We start from the raw sequence: 18,001 nt of genomic DNA, 5'->3' as shown, positions 1-18,001 counted from the left end.
TAGGACTACAGGCACACACCACCATTGCCTGGTTAATTATTTTATTTTTTGTAGAGACAGGATCTTGCTTTGTTGCCTAGGCTGGTCTCGAACTCTTGAACTCAAGTGATCCTCCCACCTTGGCCTCCCAAAGTGCTGGGATTACAGGCATAATCTGCACCCAGCCTATATGAGTTTTTATTATGGAAAATTTGCAAATACCAGATATCACATCATTTCATTTATAAATATTTCAGTATAAATCTCTGAAAGGTAAGGACTTTCATAAAACAAAGCCATAATACCATTATCACATCTAGAAACAAATTCATAATAATTCCTTATTATTCTCAAATATCAAGTCAGTATTCAAATTTCTCCAGCTGTCTCATCAAGATTTTTTTATAGTTGTTTTTTCCAGACTCAAGATCTAAATAATGTCCATACATGGCATGGCATTTGGTGAAATATCTCTTAAATCTTTTTTTCTTTTTCTTTTTTAAGAGAGTCTCCCTCTGTCATCCAGGCCAGAGTGCAGTAGTATGATCATGGCTACTATAACCTTGAACTCCTGGGCTCAAGCAATCCTCCCACCTCAGCCTCCCTAGTAGCTGGGACTACATGCACACACCACCATGTCTGGCTAACTTCTGTATTTTTTTCTTTTGTATAGATGGAGTCTTGCTATCCATCTATGGAGACAGCCTAGTTGCCCAGGCTGGTTTTGAACTCCTGGCCTCAAGTGATTCTCCTGCCTCACCCTCCCAAAGTGCTGGGATTACTGGCATGAGCCACTGCACCAGCCTCTTAAAGCGCCTTTAATCAATAGGTTCCCTGCCTCTTTTCTTGTTTATCCCCCCTACCTCTTTTTTATTTGTGGAGGAGTCTAGTCATTTGTTCCCCGGAGCTTCCCACATGCTGGATTTTGCTGACTGCCTTCCTGTGGCAATCTGCGTCTTCATCCCCAGAATTTCCAGGACACTTGTAGTTAGGTCTAGAAGCTGGACTTGATTCAGGCTTAATATTTTTTAGTAAGTATACTTGATAGCAGGTGGTGTACACATCCATCAGGAGGCACACAATGTTCAGTTGTCTCTCTTTTATGACACAAACAGTCACTGATGATCATTAACTGGATCTATTCTTTCAATAACGGTTTGTAAAATGGTAAAATTCTATCATTCCCTCTTCATCTATAAGCTGGTATATTGATTACCTTTTACTCTGACCTCTGGCTCTGCCTCCCAGGTATCTCCAGTATACATTCCCCTAGTCTAAGGGAAAGGAGTTTCCCACCAACCCAGCCCTCACAGGAATTTGTGCCCCCAGCGACACCCCCTGCCAGGCACCAGTGGGTACCGGATGAGACTGAGAGTATCTGCATGGTCTGCTGCAGGGAGCACTTCACCATGGTAAGCAGCATCGGTCTCCACTGTCACCCTCAGGAGAAGGTAAAGGAGAATTCTAGTTCATGAGCCTGAGTTTACAATCACCGCCTGTCCCCAGGAGAATATCGGTATTTTCAGAACTGCCAAATCTAAGACTTTGGGTTCATTTTTGACCTGACCAGAATGTATTTTCTGGATTCAGACAGGTAGTAGACACCCTCAAACAGCCATAAATTCTAAAATCTTTGCCATTGTCATGAGATAATAAAAAAGAGGCAGGAGGAGTCAACAGGTGTCAGTGGATCTTGTTTCTGGCTCCCATGTCTTTGACAGTAAGACTGGTGACCCAGCAGTGGTTATATGCACTGACTCAGGAGACAGAGGGCCTGGGTTCTAATCCTGGCTCTGCCTCTTAATGACAGTGTGACTATACACTATTTTGGTCTCATGTGCCTACTTGTAAACTAAGGATGATATATTCTTAGGCTCATGGAGCTGTTAGGATTAAATATGATAATATGTGTCACCATACTTAACGCAGTACCTGCCCAGTATGCCACATCAGCTCAACGCTGATGAAAACGATGGTGATGTAATTGCTCTGTGTCTGTTTCCTCCTCATCTATAAAAGAGGTGTAATATTTCTATTAGAATGAAATGAAGCAGTACTTTAAAGTCACTTTGATGCCCATCCACTGTAGACTGGATAAAGAAAAGTGGTACATATACACCATGGAATACCATGCAGCCATAAAAAAGAACAAGATCATATCTTTTGCAGGAACATGGATGGAACCAGAGGTCATTATCCAAAGCAAACTAACACAGGAATGGAAAACCAAATACCACATGTTCTCAATTTTAAGTGAGAGCTAAATACTGAGAACACATGGACAGAAAAAGGGGAACAACAGACACGGAGTGTACTTGAGACAGAGGAGGGTGGAAGGAGGGAGAAGTTCAGGGAAGAAAAACTGCTAGGTACCATGCTTACTACCCAGGTGACAAAATAATCTGTACACTAAACCCCTGAGTCACGAGTTTACCTATGTAACAAACCTGCACATGTGCCCCTGAACCTAAAATAAAAGTTGATTTAAAAAAAAAAAAAGATATTAGGAAAGCAGAGTCAGGTATTTTCCTTATTTAAACTTACAAATCTTCAAGGAGGACAATTGGTTGTGGCTTGTTGAGACATATGACAAGCCACCAAAAGGAGTTTTGCATGACAAGCTGCTCTCTAGCTTTGAAACCACCATATAGAAGGTTTACTTACATATAGGGTAGATTATAGAAAGAGTTTCTAATCTTTAAATTCTAATAATGACAACAGTTGGCCTTTATTGACTGCCTACTGTATATGTTCCAGGCATGATACTAAGTGCTTTGCTTAAGTTATCTCTCTTAAATTTTACAATAACCTGATGAGCTTGGTAATATTATTACTATATTACACACATCAGAATATGGATGTATAGAGAAGGTATATAATTTGGAGAAGACTGATGAGACATTCTGAATTGACTGATACAAATTAAGAATTTGTGTGTAAAATTAAATTGTACCTAAGTGTTTATGTTTTTAAAGTCTTTTTTTTTTTTTTTTTTGAGACAGAGTCTAGCTCTGTCACCCATGCTAGAGTGCAGTGGTGTGATCTCTGCTCACTGCAACCTCTGCTTCCTGGATTCAAGCAATTCTTCTGCCTCAGCCTCCCAAGTAGCTGGGAGTACAGGCTCCCGCCACCACACCTGGCTAATTTTTGTATTTTTAGTAGAGATGGGGTTTCGCCATGTTGGCAAGGCTGGTTTCAAACTTCTGACCTCAGATGATCCGCTCACCTCTGCCTCCCAAACTGCTGGGATTATAGGCGTGAACCACCGCGCCCAGCCTAAAAGTCTTGCTTCATGTTTATCATGTGTTACAAATGGCACCTGCTAAAATAACCTTGGGGAAAACAAATAAAGGCATTTTGAAAGGGATACTTTTTAATCATTGTCATCAATACCATGTAGAAATGTGATCTGCACTGGCTTAGAAAGTGACTTCTTCTCCACTACTTTTTCTTGTTTTTCCACATGTTGCCTCCATACACAAGTAGAACTTGTCAGGAGCTATCGCAAAGCTCCATGACTTCGCACCTTTGCCCATCAGCTGACAGATATTTTTAAACATTCAATTTTTGAGGGCAAGGACTGGTGTGTCCTTTTCCAATAGAGACCCAAGCAGTTGGTGTTCTTAGAAAGTATAAGCCACTGGTAGTTAATACCATGTATAAATGGATTGATGGCAATCTCCCCTTCTCTCCTCCCTCTTTCTTCTCCTCCTGATGGCATTCCTCAGTTTAACAGGCGTCATCATTGTCGCCGCTGTGGCCGGCTAGTGTGCAGCTCCTGCTCCACTAAGAAAATGGTGGTTGAAGGCTGCAGAGAGAACCCTGCTCGTGTGTGTGATCAGTGCTATAGTTACTGCAACAAAGAGTGAGTGTCCTACAGCAGGGCTGTTGCTATTATTGACCGCTGCACCCTTCCGCAGGTCCCTACACTCCTAGGAGTCTCATTATGAGAGCATTTCAAATCCAGAAATGTTTAACATTCACACTGAAATGCCATTAACTCTACACTGAAGGGTTTGTACACTGACTTTGGTCAGAGAAACCACTAAGAGAGAAAGTAGGGTGAGAGGAAGAGGTGTTCAAGGTTCTTACATGATGTTCTTAAATCAGGACTTTGATTCCTTAGCCCTTCCCCAGACAGAGGCCATTGAGCTTAGTTCACCAATTCACCTATTTTCCAGCCTCTCTTGCTTCAACTGGTCTCAGCTGGACTCAAATGGACATGTTCACACCTGCTGAATGGTTGGGCATCGCTTATATCAACTCTGATCTAGGTAGTCATTCTTGCTTGTAATCCGTAATTAGAAGAGCCTCCATACTTGCCTACACAGAGTTCACCTGGTAACAAATTTCAGAAACTGCTCATACCTCTGGCGAGACAGATCAAGACTTTGTTTGTTGGCTCAGTGTTGCTCAATTGTTTCCACTACTTCTAGTAGCAAAGAAGCATGAACCTAAGACTCCTAGAGCATCTAGGAATATGGGCCAAAGCAACCATCCAAAACCAGTTACTTTGAATTCTGCATGTTTTATTTACAAACTTAAATAGATTTTCTATTCTCCTCCATAGCATTATTGTGTTTGTCCTGATGTGAACATTTTTGGTCATTATTTACCATAATGATTACTGATCGCATAGGAAGGAAGACACACCATACTTACTCTACAGTTTCCGTGACCCTAGCATACCACTGCCTCCCTCCCTCCTGGAGGAATTACCCACACACCATACTGCTGAGATTTGAAATGGGCAGTTAGTATTGATGGGGGACTCTTTCATTCAACAATTCTACCCTCAAAGAGCCCTCCATTGTACCAGGGAGACACTGTAAGTTGATGCTGTCTACGAAGCTCAAAACAAAGAAGTGACTCAGGCATTTATTTAATAATTTTTCTTTCTCTGTTTTCAGTGTACCAGAGGAGCCTTCAGAAAAACCAGAAGGTAAGGCCAAATCCCGTTCTCTGTGACTCTTCATTTGTGTACTTAAGTTGACTCTATCTTCAGCATATCAGCTGTGACTGATATACTTGTCCAACTTATGCACTCCATCCAACTTGTTTGCCAAAGCAAATTCTTGGCATTTGTATCAGCCTGTTTCCTCTGAAGTTCATCATATTAACCTATTACACTGGCCTATTAGCTTCCAGCATTGAGAAGGCCAGCAACCAAATAATTTGGTTCTTAACTTTTTAGTAGGTGATTTTATTTTAGTTTTTCTTAAGTTTCCCTTTACCATCCTACCTCCCCATGCTCCCTCCTTACCCCTAGGTAATCCCTGTTAACAGTTTGGCCTGTATCTGTCCACAACAGGTTAGTTTTTAGAGTGTCCAGTGGCTCAGCCATCTATTTGAGAAACACGCCCCTTTGAAGGTTTCTTGTGTGAAGCAAGAAGGTTACGTGACAAATACTGTAACACTCGCCTCAGGTCTATGCCTGGGGAAGATGGTTTGAGGTGCTTAGTGGGGTGTCCTAAAGCAAACAAAAGGAACCAAGGAGAGAGAAAGGGGCCCTGAGATAGCAGGCAAGTGTCTACCTGCAACTCATGCCAGCTCACTGGACTGGGTTAGACTGAACTGCCAGCCAGTGAATGACACATGAATGGCATTTCTCTTCTCAGCTCTAGACAGCTCCAAGAATGAAAGCCCTCCATACTCGTTTGTGGTGAGAGTCCCCAAAGCAGATGAGGTGGAATGGATTTTGGATCTCAAAGAGGAGGAAAATGAGCTGGTGCGGAGTGAATTTTACTATGAGCAGGTAATAGCAATAAAATGCAATGGTCACTTAAGTTTCTTTATGATGTGTAGCAGTATGACAAGAAATACAGAGGTAGGTGAACACACCTGGCCTTTACTTGTTTATAGTGCAATAATATGGGAGCTAAACCAGTAAATCCATTAAGGCAGAAAATAATGAACATCTTGGGAATTGCAGAAGGGGAGACCAGGAAAGCCTTCGTGGAAGAGGTAGCATTTAAGATGAGCTTTGGAAGAATGGTAGGAGTGTGACAAGCAGAAAGCTGGGGGTCGTGAGGAGAGTGGGGATGGGGAAGGACAAAGAATACAAAATTAAAACATCTGAGCAAAGACACCGTGTCCAAAATTGCAGGGCATGATTGGAGAAGTGGAAGCTCTTTAATTTGAAGGGAACATAGAGTCAATAGGGTTAATAGAGAGCTCATAAAAGGTAGGCTTGAAAAGGATTATTTATATATAGGGCCTTACATTCTGCAGTAAGGACTATCTACTTGATAGGTTTCAAGGGCCTATGAAAGGTTTCCAAGTGTGCTTTAGGAATATTAATTTAGCAGCAGTGTGTCCATGGCTTAAAGCAGAAACTCCTCTAGGTGGTCAGACAAGTGAGCTGACCATTGTTGTCCAAGTCAGCAATAAGGACTTGCACTAGTGGACCAGAGAAAGGAGGGGACCTATGGACATTGTCAAGAAGTAGGTAACAAGGCTGGGCGCAGTGGTGCCCACCTGTAATCCCAGCACTTTGAGAGTCTGAGGTGGGTGAATCGCTTGAGCCCAGGAGTTTGAGACCAGCCTGGGCAACATGGTGAAATCCCCGTCTCTACAAAAAAAAATACAAAAATTAGCCGGGCATGGTGGCACAAAGCTGTGGTCCCCACTACTTGGGAGGCTGAGGTGGAAGGATTGCTTGAGCCTGGGAGGCAGAGGTTGCAGTGAGCCGAGATCGCACCAATGCACTCCAGCCTGGGCAACAGAGTGAGACCCTGTTTCAAAAAAATAAAGAAGTGGGTAAGAGGTGGACACAGTGCCCTTCTTCCCAGTAAAATGACATAACTTAAAAGCCAGAGTTTTGGCAGTGCTACTTAGAACATCTGAAATTTGTTTAGTTCCACTTCTGCTTTCTTGTAGAATCTGGTTCCTTCTTCCAGGGTCTTTCAGCCTTTTGAAAGGGGAAGGATAATTTCTGCCACCCAGCTGCCTTTGGAGAATGCTCTGGCCCCTGGACTCACCGTGTGTTCTCCCTTCTTCCACCCCGGCCAGGCCCCCAGCGCCTCCTTGTGCATTGCCATCCTGAATCTGCACCGGGACAGCATTGCCTGTGGTCACCAGCTGATTGAGCACTGCTGCAGGCTCTCCAAGGGCCTCACCAACCCAGAGGTGGATGCCGGGCTGCTCACGGACATCATGAAGCAGCTGCTGTTCAGCGCCAAGATGATGTTCGTCAAAGCCGGCCAGAGCCAAGACTTGGCTCTTTGTGACAGGTAGAGGGCAGTGGGTCTCTATTCTTTTACACAGGAGCAGTTTCTAGCCAGCTTCTTTTTCTGACCCCACTGTGATTTTTTTATCTCACCATCCTCTCTGACAAGACATGCTGAAAGATTTTTCATCTGTGTAATGTTGATGAAACGGTGTTGCCAGATCTCAAGTGTTCTTCCCCATCCTACCTGACACCCTGTGTCCTTTTCTTTTTCAGAGCAGACCCTCAAAGCAGAGTTTACTCTAGCTATACCAGTCAGAAAGAGAGTAAAGACTTTCATTAGTTGATTTGTCATTAAAGTCAATGTAGGGAACCACCTTTAGTCTCTGTGGGACTTTCTGGCTTTTAAAGAAAATGTGTCCTCCTTGAATGTCCAGTGATTAGCCTTGAACAAAACTCTACTCCAATCCTGACCAAATTCAAACTGTGACTTCAGTGAATTCTGGATAATAGATTTTAAAAAGCACTCTGGGAATTGGTCTATTCCTGTGTCCCAGGTAGGAACTGGGGTCATAAAGTAGAAGTGTGTATGGAAAAGGTATGATTAGACCTCCCTCAGGTTCCTGTACAACCGGTTTTGACTCCATCCATTAACCTGACAGTGACTCCTAATTCCCTGCTTATCCACTCAAATGTGTGACTCAGATTGTGTGTTCCCAGCACTCAGTCCTAACCAGATTTGGGAGAAGGGAGCATAATTTTCTCTGCGGTATCATTGCCTCCCTCAGACATTTGCTTGGAATACTTGCCTACAGACTCAGCAGCCAGCATGGAGCACAGCAAATCCCAGCTTCACGACTTCCTAGCTCTGTTAACCCCTCTAGGCCTCAGTCTCCTCCTCTATAAAATGGGGTAGTAATACTGATCTCATGGGGCTGTTACGAGGATAAAATGAGATCATCCATGTAAATGGTGAAGAACTAAGCCTGGTATATACTGTGTATTCCGAAAATGTTAGTAATTTTTATTATTTTTAGTAACAAAAACTAGAAGGTTGAGAAAAGCAGGAGGAGGTGAAACAAAGTAGAAGGAAGTGAAAAGGAACTAATCTGATTCCTTTATATCAAGAGGTAATAGATTCTACATCATTTTTCAAGTTGATAAATGAAGAAACAGATATGTGTTAAATTTTTGAAATAACCATGAAAAGAATAAAAAATCTACCTAATTATGAGAAAAGGATAGGAGGAGGAAAAAAAAGATGGAAAACAAAGGAAACATGAAAAAAGACTTAAGGCAAAAGTAAAAATATATTCAAATATATCTCAAGTATCAGTAATGTAAATGAAAAAAGGAAAAGATATTTAGATTGGGGAGAAAACAAACTTCACATCAAGTCCTGTATTTCCTTTAAAATGTAATACAGATGAAGGAAATATCCATTTTTAGGCTCAGGGCAGCAGAAAGTAAGGAAGTCCTCACTTTAATAGGATTCTCACCCACCCCAAGGTGTCTTGCGCGTCTTTGACAGTTTACAGCAATGGTTTCTATTTAAACAGCCTTTTCTCTGATCCTGCATTCAGACACGCCCACTCTAAGAATCTTTCCCTTTGCACCAGTTTGTTGATGGGAGTGGATTCATTGCTCACATGTGTCGCCATGCAAATCACTTACAAACTCTTGGATTTCAGAGTATTTTTCTAATGTTTTTAACTCATACCCCCTTCTGATAGACAAACAAATAAATAAATATAGGCTTAAAAACAAAACTCAGCTGGGTGCAGTGGCTCTTGTCTGTAATTCCAGCTACTCAAGAGGCTGAGGGAAGAGGATCCCGAGGCCAGGAGTTCGAGACCAGCCTGGGCAATGTAGTGAGACCCTGTCTCTAAAAACATAAAAATAAACTCACCACCTACTACAAATGTTTTCATTTCCCAAATATGCAAAAATATTATGAGTGCCGATGCTCTTATACACTATACTTTCCTCTCCCCCATCCCTACATTGTTAAGAATCACTGATGTACAGAATCCCTTTCTAGGTAATTGGTGGATAAGTCAGGATCCACAGAGGTTTTTGCTGCAGTTATGAGACGAGATTCAGGAACCTTGAGTGTAGGCTTGTCTCAGCAGCACTAGACAGTATAATCCAGCCCTCTGGGCTTTCTATCCTTATAAGGTTTTTACAAGCATCAGGTGAGATCACAGAAGGCAGCCCTACTAGGCTATAATGAGGGCCCATCCTTAACCCAGGGTGAGGATGTCAAGTCTAGAATAAGAGTGAAGGACCAGGATGCTTCCACCCAGCAGCATCTCCAGGGAATGGTAGCGATGTGGCCTGTGCACTGACCAGGAATACAGGCCATTGATACTGAATCTGTGCTCTCTCACTCACGAAGAAGGGTTCAAAAGGACCAAAAAGCAGATGGGTCACTTGTAAGCCCCTAACATACAGTGTAAAGGCCTTGCCTCAAATACCCCTGAGCATCCCCACTCCAAACATTAATATCTAACATTTATTGAGTGCCAGAAAAGTTCCGGACATTATCCTAAGCCCTTTTACTTGGGTTATTTCATTTTATCTTTAAAACTCCACTGTCACAGTCATGCATTGCTTAACGACAGTAATATGTTCTGAGAAATGCATTGTCAGGTGATTTCGTCATTGTGCAAACACCATAGAGTGCACTTGCACAAACCCAGAGGGTATAGCCTTCTACCCACCTAGGTTATGATCTATTGTTCCTAGGCTACAAACCTGTACAACGTGTTACTGTACTGAATACTGTAGGCAATTGTAACACTATGGTATTTGTGTATCTAAATATAGAAAAAGTATAGTAAAAATATGATATTATGATCCTATGTGGCCACCATTGTATATGCAGTTCATTGCTAACTGAAATGTCATTATGTGGCACATGACTGTATATCCATTTTACAGATGAGTAAACTAAGGCAGAGAAAGGTTAACTAACTTGCCCCAGGTCATAGAGCTACTAAGTAATAGAGCCATAATTCAGTGTGACTCCAGAGCTTTCACTCATGACATCTATGCTATGCAACTCTCAATTCTCATGATCACTTTCACATTGAAAATGGAGTAGGCCTGTAATCCCAGCACTTTGGGAGGCCGAGGTGGACGGATCACCTGATGTCAGGAGTTCAAGACCAGCCTGGCCAACGTGGTGAAGCCCTGTCTCTATTAAAAAAATACAAAAACTAGCTGGGCAAGGTGCCAGGCACCTGTAATCCCAGATACTGGAGAGGCTGAGACAGAAGAATCGTTTGAACCCAGGAGGCGGTGGTTGCAGTGAGCCGAGATCGGACCACTGCACTCCAGCCTGGGTGACAGAACGAGACTCTGTTTCAAAACAAACAGAAAAAAGAAAATGGAATAGGAAACCTTTAAGCGGCTACTCTTAGTAAGACACTAGGGAGCCTCATGGCCTTGCCCTTTTCCTCCTTGTAGCTACATCAGCAAGGTAGATGTGCTGAATATTTTAGTTGCTGCTGCCTATCGCCACGTGCCATCTTTGGATCAGATCTTGCAGCCAGCTGCAGTAACCAGGCTAAGGAACCAGCTTTTGGAAGCCGAGTACTACCAACTGGGCGTTGAGGTGAGACAAAGACAAAGACAAAGCTTACTTCCACCCCACTGTAGCAAGTTGCTTTTGCTTAGCCTTGCAAACAGGTGTTGCCGTCTCTCAGTTGTCCTGCCCATGGGGTAGAATCGGGGACATGACTAGTTTGCCAGCAGAGAAGTAATGGCAGATAGTGGGAATGAGGTGGTTGGCAACTTGGGAATAGAATAGGTCTTTGGGACATTTAGGCCTGAATGTAGCTACCACTCACTAAAAGGGGCAATTTTTCTCCCAGGTCTCCACAAAGACTGGGCTTGATACCACCGGGGCGTGGCATGCTTGGGGCATGGCCTGCCTCAAAGCCGGGAACCTCACTGCTGCACGGGAGAAGTTCAGTCGCTGTCTGAAGCCCCCATTTGACCTCAATCAGCTGAATCATGGCTCAAGGCTGGTGCAGGATGTGGTTGAGTACCTAGAGTCCACAGTGAGGCCCTTTGTATCCTTGGTAAGAGCAAGGCAGGAAGAGTGCCTGGCTCAGGGAGGGAGACCCAGGAATAGCAATGACCTGGGAAAAGAATCAGTGGAAATTCAGCTAACAGTGTCAGTCCTGGCTCAGCATCAAGCAGGTTAAAAATTTTTTTTTTCCATCACATATAGTTAGATAAGTAACCATATATGGTTAGATAAGTAATAGATGTAATTTTTTTTAAAAAAAGGAGACAATTTTTAAAAAGATAAAAATGACATATGACATATAATCCCATACACAGACTGATTAGTGTTAAAATTCTGGTGAATTTTCTATGTTATGTTGTTTAATGAAACTGGGGTTGTCCCATATCATAATATGTAGAATTGTGTATCCTGCCTGTTCTGCCTTTGACACTGAAAAATTATGAACATTTTTCCACATTGTTAAATATTCTTTCTTTATTTGTTTTTTTATTTTTTTATCATACTTTAAGTTCTAGGGTACATGTGCACAACGTGCAGGTTTGTTACATATGTATACATGTGCCATGTTGGTGTGCACATTGTTAAATATTCTTTGCAAGCAATATTTTCAGTGCCTGCTGAGAACTTTTTGAGTTTCATTTTTCTCTCTCGCTCCCTGTGCTGTCAGCAAGATGACGATTACTTTGCCACCCTGAGGGAACTGGAAGCTACCCTTCGGACGCAGAGCCTTTCTCTGGCAGTGATTCCTGAAGGGAAAATCATGAACAACACCTACTACCAGGAATGCCTCTTCTACCTGCACAACTATAGCACCAACCTGGCCATCATCAGCTTCTACGTGAGGCACAGCTGCCTGCGGGAAGCTCTTCTGCACCTTCTCAACAAGGTGGGACATGGACACAGCTCAAAAAGGCAGTGCCTGCCTTACTCCTCTGGCTTGGACCACTCAGCCTTAAGCGGGACAATAACCCCCTGACACTTAACCCTGTGTTGAGCTATGGGGCCATCTCTAGCAGAGTCAAGTCAAAACAGGGGACTCTGCACAACTGTTATTCAGTGAGTGTGAAAAGTCTTAGCCTAGATCCCAAATCACTGCCCTCACCAGCAAAGGCATGTTTCATTCCTTCTGCCAAAACATGCAGCAGAATCGGATAGTGGTTAAGAGCATGTCTCTGGAATGAGATGCTCAGTGTGAGTCTTGTGTGGCCTTGGGCATATTGCTTAGAGTCTGCTTCCACGCGCCTCCCTACCTGGCCTGGGATGGTGTCCAGCTTCTGACCCAGCTGCTGGTCCATTCAGAGTTGTTACTACAAGGGCCAGGAAGTAACCATGGTGCCAATCCTATAGTTGAACCCCAAATAGATGATGAAAGAAGAATATGCTCTCCTTTTTTTCTTCTCCCATCCTCTGCCCCCCTCCCACTGGAAGCAAAGGCACCACTGAAGAACATTACATCTTTGGAGCTCTTAATAAGCAATCAGGACTTCGTTTTACCGTGACCCATTTTTTTGTTTTTGTTTTTTCGAGATGGGGACTCACTATGTTGCCCAGGCTAGAATGCAGTGGCATGATCACAGCTCACTGCACCCTTGACCTCCTAGGCTCAAGAAATCCTCCAACCTCATCCTACTGAGTAGCTGGGACTACAGGCACATGCACTGCACCCAGCTACATTCCTTTTTTTATCTGAATGTTCCATAATAACTTGGAGAAATTGGCTGAGATGTACCAAATTTTGTAGGAAATTGAAGGAGCTCAAGGCAGACTTTAATTTCACTCTGCCACCCTAATTCAAAACAGCAGCCAATGCAAATGTACAGATAGACATATTTTCTAAGATTGATCCAAGTGAAATCAGCAGTTCACAAAGTTATTATGACTATACCCCTACAGGACACTGAAGGGGGGTGTTTTTACCAGTGCTTAGCTACTGACTATTCTTAGCTACTAACCAGGTCTTAAGAATAATGTAGAAGTCATGTTATATGGAGTTGAGTTGCTAACTTTTTTCCTTTTCCTCAGTTTCCAGATGAGTTTAGCAGTAAAGATGCTTTTCCCAGGCACAAATTGGGAATGGAAATCACCTAGTTCCGTTCCCTCTGACAGCTGTAATCCAGAGAGCTAAGCTGCTTACTTCATTAGCTTGGTATAAGCTGACGACAGCAGTGCCCTTGCTTTATATTTGTCAGAGCTAGGAAATAAGCCTTCTTTTTTTCTGCTGTAATCATAGTTACCCTTGAACTGAAATATCTTACATTTATTCTCAAGCAGGTAGGGAGAGGAGAAAAGACATTGTGAAAATTACACCTGAATGCCTGGAGCATGGAAGACATTCTGTCCCTAGCCTTTTCCCTGTGTATTTTGTCCCTTTGCCCACTCTGCCCAAAGACTGAGCTTTCTAAAACATAAATAGATTCATGTTATTCCCCTCCCTAAAAGGCTTTCAGAGGATCTCCATGGCCATAGGAAGAACTTCAGATTCCTTAGCATGCTACAGAACTAACCAGGATCAGGCCTCCTTATTTCTCTAATTTATTTTCACCACAAATCCTATGTGTACCTTACATTCCAGACTCATTAAATTACTTAAATTTTCCTGATATACCATGCACTTTTTTTTTTTTTTTTTGAGCCAGAGTCTTGCTCTGTTGCCAGGCTGGAGCGCGGTGGTGAGATCTCAGCTCACTACAACCTCTGCTTCCCAGGTTCAAACGATTCTCCTGCCTCAGACTCCTGATTAGCTGGGATTACAGGCACATGCCACCACGCCTGGCTAATTTTTGTATTTTTAGTAGAGACAGGGTTTCACCATGTTGGCCACGATGGTCTCGATATCTTGACCTTGTGATCCGCCTGCCTGGGCTTCCAAAGTGCTGGGATTATAGGCGTGAGCCACCGCGCCTGGCCACCATGCACTGTCTTATTTCCACGAATCTTTATGTGCTATTTCTTCTACCTAGAGTGCCCTGCCTTTCTGTGTTTTCCTTTTTTTTTTTTTTTTTTTTTTCAGACAGAGTCTGGCTCTGTCGCCCAGGCTGGAGTGCGGTGGCACGATCTTGGCTCACTGGAAGCTCCGCCTCCTGGGTTCACACCCTTCTCCTGCCTCAGCCTCCCAAGTAGGTAGGACTACAAGCGCCCGCCACCATACCTGGCTAATTTTTTCTATTTTTTTTTTTAGTAGAGACGGGGTTTCACCATGTTAGCCAGGATGGTCTCAATCTCCTGACCTTGTGATCTGCCCGCCTCGGCCTCCCAAAGTGCTGGGATTAGAGGCGTGAGCCACCGTGCCCAGCCTGTTTTCTTAAAAAATTCATATTTGTTGGGAGCAGTGGCTCACACCTGTGATCCCAGCACATTGGGAGGCTGAGGCAGGTGGATCACTAGATCAGGAGTTCAAGACCAGCCTGACCAAGATGGTGAAACCCTGTCTTTACTAAAAACTACAAAAATTAGCTGGGTGTGGTGGCAGGTGCCTGTAATCCCAGCTACTCGGGAGGCTGAGGCAGGAGAATTGCTTGAACCTGCGTGGCAGAGGTTGCAGTGAGCCAAGATTGCGCCACTGCACTCCAGCCTGGGCGACAGAGTAAGACTCCATCTCAAAATAAATAAATAAATAAATAAATAAAATTCTATTTATCCTTTTAGTATCCTTTCAGGCCCTCTCTGTTGAGCATTCACAGAACACTCAAGCAGCATTAGCCACCATTGCCCCTGGTACTGCATTTATCCTGCTGGATTGCCACTGTTTGTTTACAATTGAGTCTTTCCATCTGGACCAAGAAGGCCTATATTTTACTTATCTGTATATTCAGGCACCTGACCTAGTACCAATTATGAATGAGTGAGTGGATAGATAAATGGATGGCATGGAAGTTCTTGAGGTGCTGCCCTTCTGAGGTGTTCTATCTCTCCTGTAGAGCTAATGCCCCTGCTTCTTAAAATGTGACCTACAACTTTTAGATTAGGTCTGGTTTTCTCTGTTAGGAACAACCTGAATCAGGAAAGAAGCCCCTAACCCTCACCCACTATGAATGTTCTCAAAACCCAGATCCATTCTGCTTCCAAACAGCTTGTGCCCAGTGTCACTATGCTAGCATGTTATACCACTGTGACTTTATAGCCATCCTTGACTCTCCGTTAATTACTCCTAACCTCAAGTCTAAATGCCAAGATGATTATTAAATAGCCAAGGACTATTCTGGGCACTAAGGATACAGTAGTAAAAAAACAGACAAAAGGCTGGGCAGGGTGGCTCGTTTCTGTAATCCCAGCACTCTGGGAGGCTGAGGTGGGTGGATCACTTGAAGTCAGGAGTTTGAGACCAGCCTGGCCAACATGATGAAACCCTGTCTCTACTAAAAATACAAAAACTAGCTGGGCATGGTGGCACGAGCCTGTATTCCCAGCTACTTGGGAGGCTGAGGCAGGAGAATCGCTTGAACCCAGGAGGCGGAGGTTGCAGTGAGCTGAGATTGCGCCACTGCACTCCAGCTTGGGTTACAGAGTGAGATTCTGTCTTAAAAAAAGAAAAAGAAAGAAAGAGAGAGAGAAAGAAAGGAAAGAGAGAGAGAAAGAAAGAAAGAAAGAAAGAAAGAAAGAAAGAAAGAAAGACAAAAATATCTGCCCCATAGTAGGAAGAGAGATAGTAAACATGAGAAATAAAATAGATATTGTAGATGATGAATAAGAAGAAGAAAAATAAAACAGGGAGGAGGAAGGGGTGGCTTGTATAATTTTAGACTGGGTGCCCAGGGAAGGTGACATCTGAGTAAAGCTCCAAAGAACACGAGGAGCAAATCATGCAGATCTATGGGGAAGGCAGAGGGTGTGATGAGGGCAAAGGCCAGGGTGGCTAGAGCAGAGTCCACTAGGACAGGGTACTATCAGATAAAGTCAGAAAGGTCACAGGCCAAATCACACAGGACCTTGTGGACATTGTGAGGGATGAGAAGGGAAACCCCTGGGAGACTGTGAGCAGAGGAGTAACGTGATCTGGCTTCAGTTTCAACAGTCACTTGGGCTCATTTGTGGGCGTTAGACTGACAAGAGGTAAGAATGGAAGCTGATAGACCAGGGAGGAGTCTGTTGCAATAATCCAGACAAACGATGATGGCAGGGATCCAGTGTGGTCCAGGGGAGGTGGTGGGAAGTGGCCAGATTCTGTGTGCTGTAATGGTGATGGTGGAGCCAATAGAATTTGCTGATGGATTTGATGAAGGAGTGTGAGGGAAAAGATGACTAAGGTTTTTGACCTGAACAACTAAAAGAATGGAGACACAGACTGAGAAAGGGAAGACTGTGGAAAGAGCAGGTTTCAAGAAACAAGCAGGAATGTAGTTGTAGATGTATTCAGTTAGATCTCCAAGTGGCCATGTTCAGTAGACAATTGGATATAAGTTGGATGTACAGTTCTGGAGTTCAGGAGGAATGAACAATCTGGAGATGGGGATTTAGGCATCATCAGCAAATCAACAGTATATTAAACAGTGAGCCTGGATGAAATCACCAAGAGAGTGAGTATAAATAGAAAAGAGTGTAGGTTCCTCCGAAGCCCTGGGGAGATTGGGAGGGATCAGCTAAGAAAATTGAGAAGAAGCAGCCAAAGACATAGACAGAAAATCTGGAGAGGATAGTGTGCTGGAGGCCAACTGAGGAGAGTTTTTTCTCAATTATTTTTAAAAGGCTTTTCAAGGAGGAAGAAGCCATCTCTGTCAAAAGCTGCTGATTGATCAGATAGAAAATAAGGATCAAGGATTAACTGTTAGATTTACAGTTTAGTGGTCACTGGTGACCTAAGGGGCAGTTTCAATGGGAATTATGGGTGCAGAGCTAGATTAGAGTGGGTTCAAGAGAAAAATCACAGGAGGGAATTGGAGACAGTGAGGGTAGATAACCCTGTCTAGGGGCTTCTCTGTAAAAGGAAGGAGAGAAGTGAAGCAGTCGCTAGAATGAGATTCTCAAAGGTATCTGTGACACATAAAAGATTAAGAAGCACTGCATTGGGAGGATGCTGAAGGTTCATCAATAGAAGGAAATTCAGAGTGGATCCCAGACAGTGCCAGAACCAGGCTCAAGACTTCTGACTTCTCGCCCTGCCCTGCTCCAGGAGAGTCCTCCAGAAGTTTTTATAGAAGGCATTTTCCAACCAAGCTATAAAAGTGGGAAGCTACACACTTTGGAGAACTTGCTAGAATCCATTGATCCAACCTTGGAGAGCTGGGGAAAGTACTTGATTGCTGCCTGCCAACATTTACAGAAGAAGAACTACTACCACATTCTGTATGAGCTGCAGCAGTTTATGAAGGTAATGGCAGCCCCTTCCTGCCTTCTACCTCTGTTGCTGGTGCCCCACCCTGCAGGAGAGGCAGTGCACGATGAGGGAATGAGACTGTCATTGGTCCCTGGCCTTGCTGTTTGGCTGACCCTAGAGCAAATCCATGTTGCTCTCCAGTATTGTTAAATAATATTAGGATTTCCATCCTAAGTTTGGGGGCAGACTTTAATCCTGTCAATAAAGGCATTCTTCAGAAAGCAAGAAATGAACAGGTAAAAAAAAGAAATAAATGGTAGTTTCAAGATAAGCATGAGGCGTGAATGTAGAATTCATAAGGAATGATGGAAACGTTAGTGTTTTTAGAGAAAATATGTGAAGGGAGAAGGAACACGTTCCTCCCAATCTGCCTGAGGATAGTCAGTACTAAATTGAATTATTTAATGCCAAAGTACAAGTGAAGCCAATTTGAGTGGAGAATCAGAAATATCTTCTTTTAGCATCTCTTCGGTGGTGGAATAATGTCCTACCCAAGAGCTCCACC

General features: G+C 43.4%; 1 protein-coding gene across 4 annotated transcripts in view; it reads left to right on the top strand.

The window, feature by feature from the left end:
- The window catches only part of ZFYVE26 (zinc finger FYVE-type containing 26), an 87,699-nt gene that overhangs the window by 43,153 nt on the left and 26,545 nt on the right, over positions 1–18,001 (top strand). For all 4 annotated transcript variants that reach the window (XM_047431173.1, NM_015346.4, XM_047431175.1 and 1 more), the window contains 9 exons: positions 1,228–1,391; positions 3,708–3,844; positions 4,890–4,921; positions 5,598–5,734; positions 6,991–7,211; positions 10,619–10,766; positions 11,026–11,235; positions 11,854–12,072; positions 17,293–17,490. In XM_047431173.1, coding sequence (XP_047287129.1) covers positions 1,228–1,391; positions 3,708–3,844; positions 4,890–4,921; positions 5,598–5,734; positions 6,991–7,211; positions 10,619–10,766; positions 11,026–11,235; positions 11,854–12,072; positions 17,293–17,490 — 1,466 coding nt within the window. The remainder of the gene's footprint in view (positions 1–1,227; positions 1,392–3,707; positions 3,845–4,889; positions 4,922–5,597; positions 5,735–6,990; positions 7,212–10,618; positions 10,767–11,025; positions 11,236–11,853; positions 12,073–17,292; positions 17,491–18,001) is intronic.

Source organism: Homo sapiens, chromosome 14 (assembly GCF_000001405.40).
Source record: "Homo sapiens chromosome 14, GRCh38.p14 Primary Assembly".
Classification (NCBI taxonomy): Eukaryota; Metazoa; Chordata; class Mammalia; order Primates; family Hominidae; genus Homo; species Homo sapiens.
Note: the sequence above shows the minus strand (reverse complement) of the source record. Positions and strands in the feature narration are given on the sequence as shown.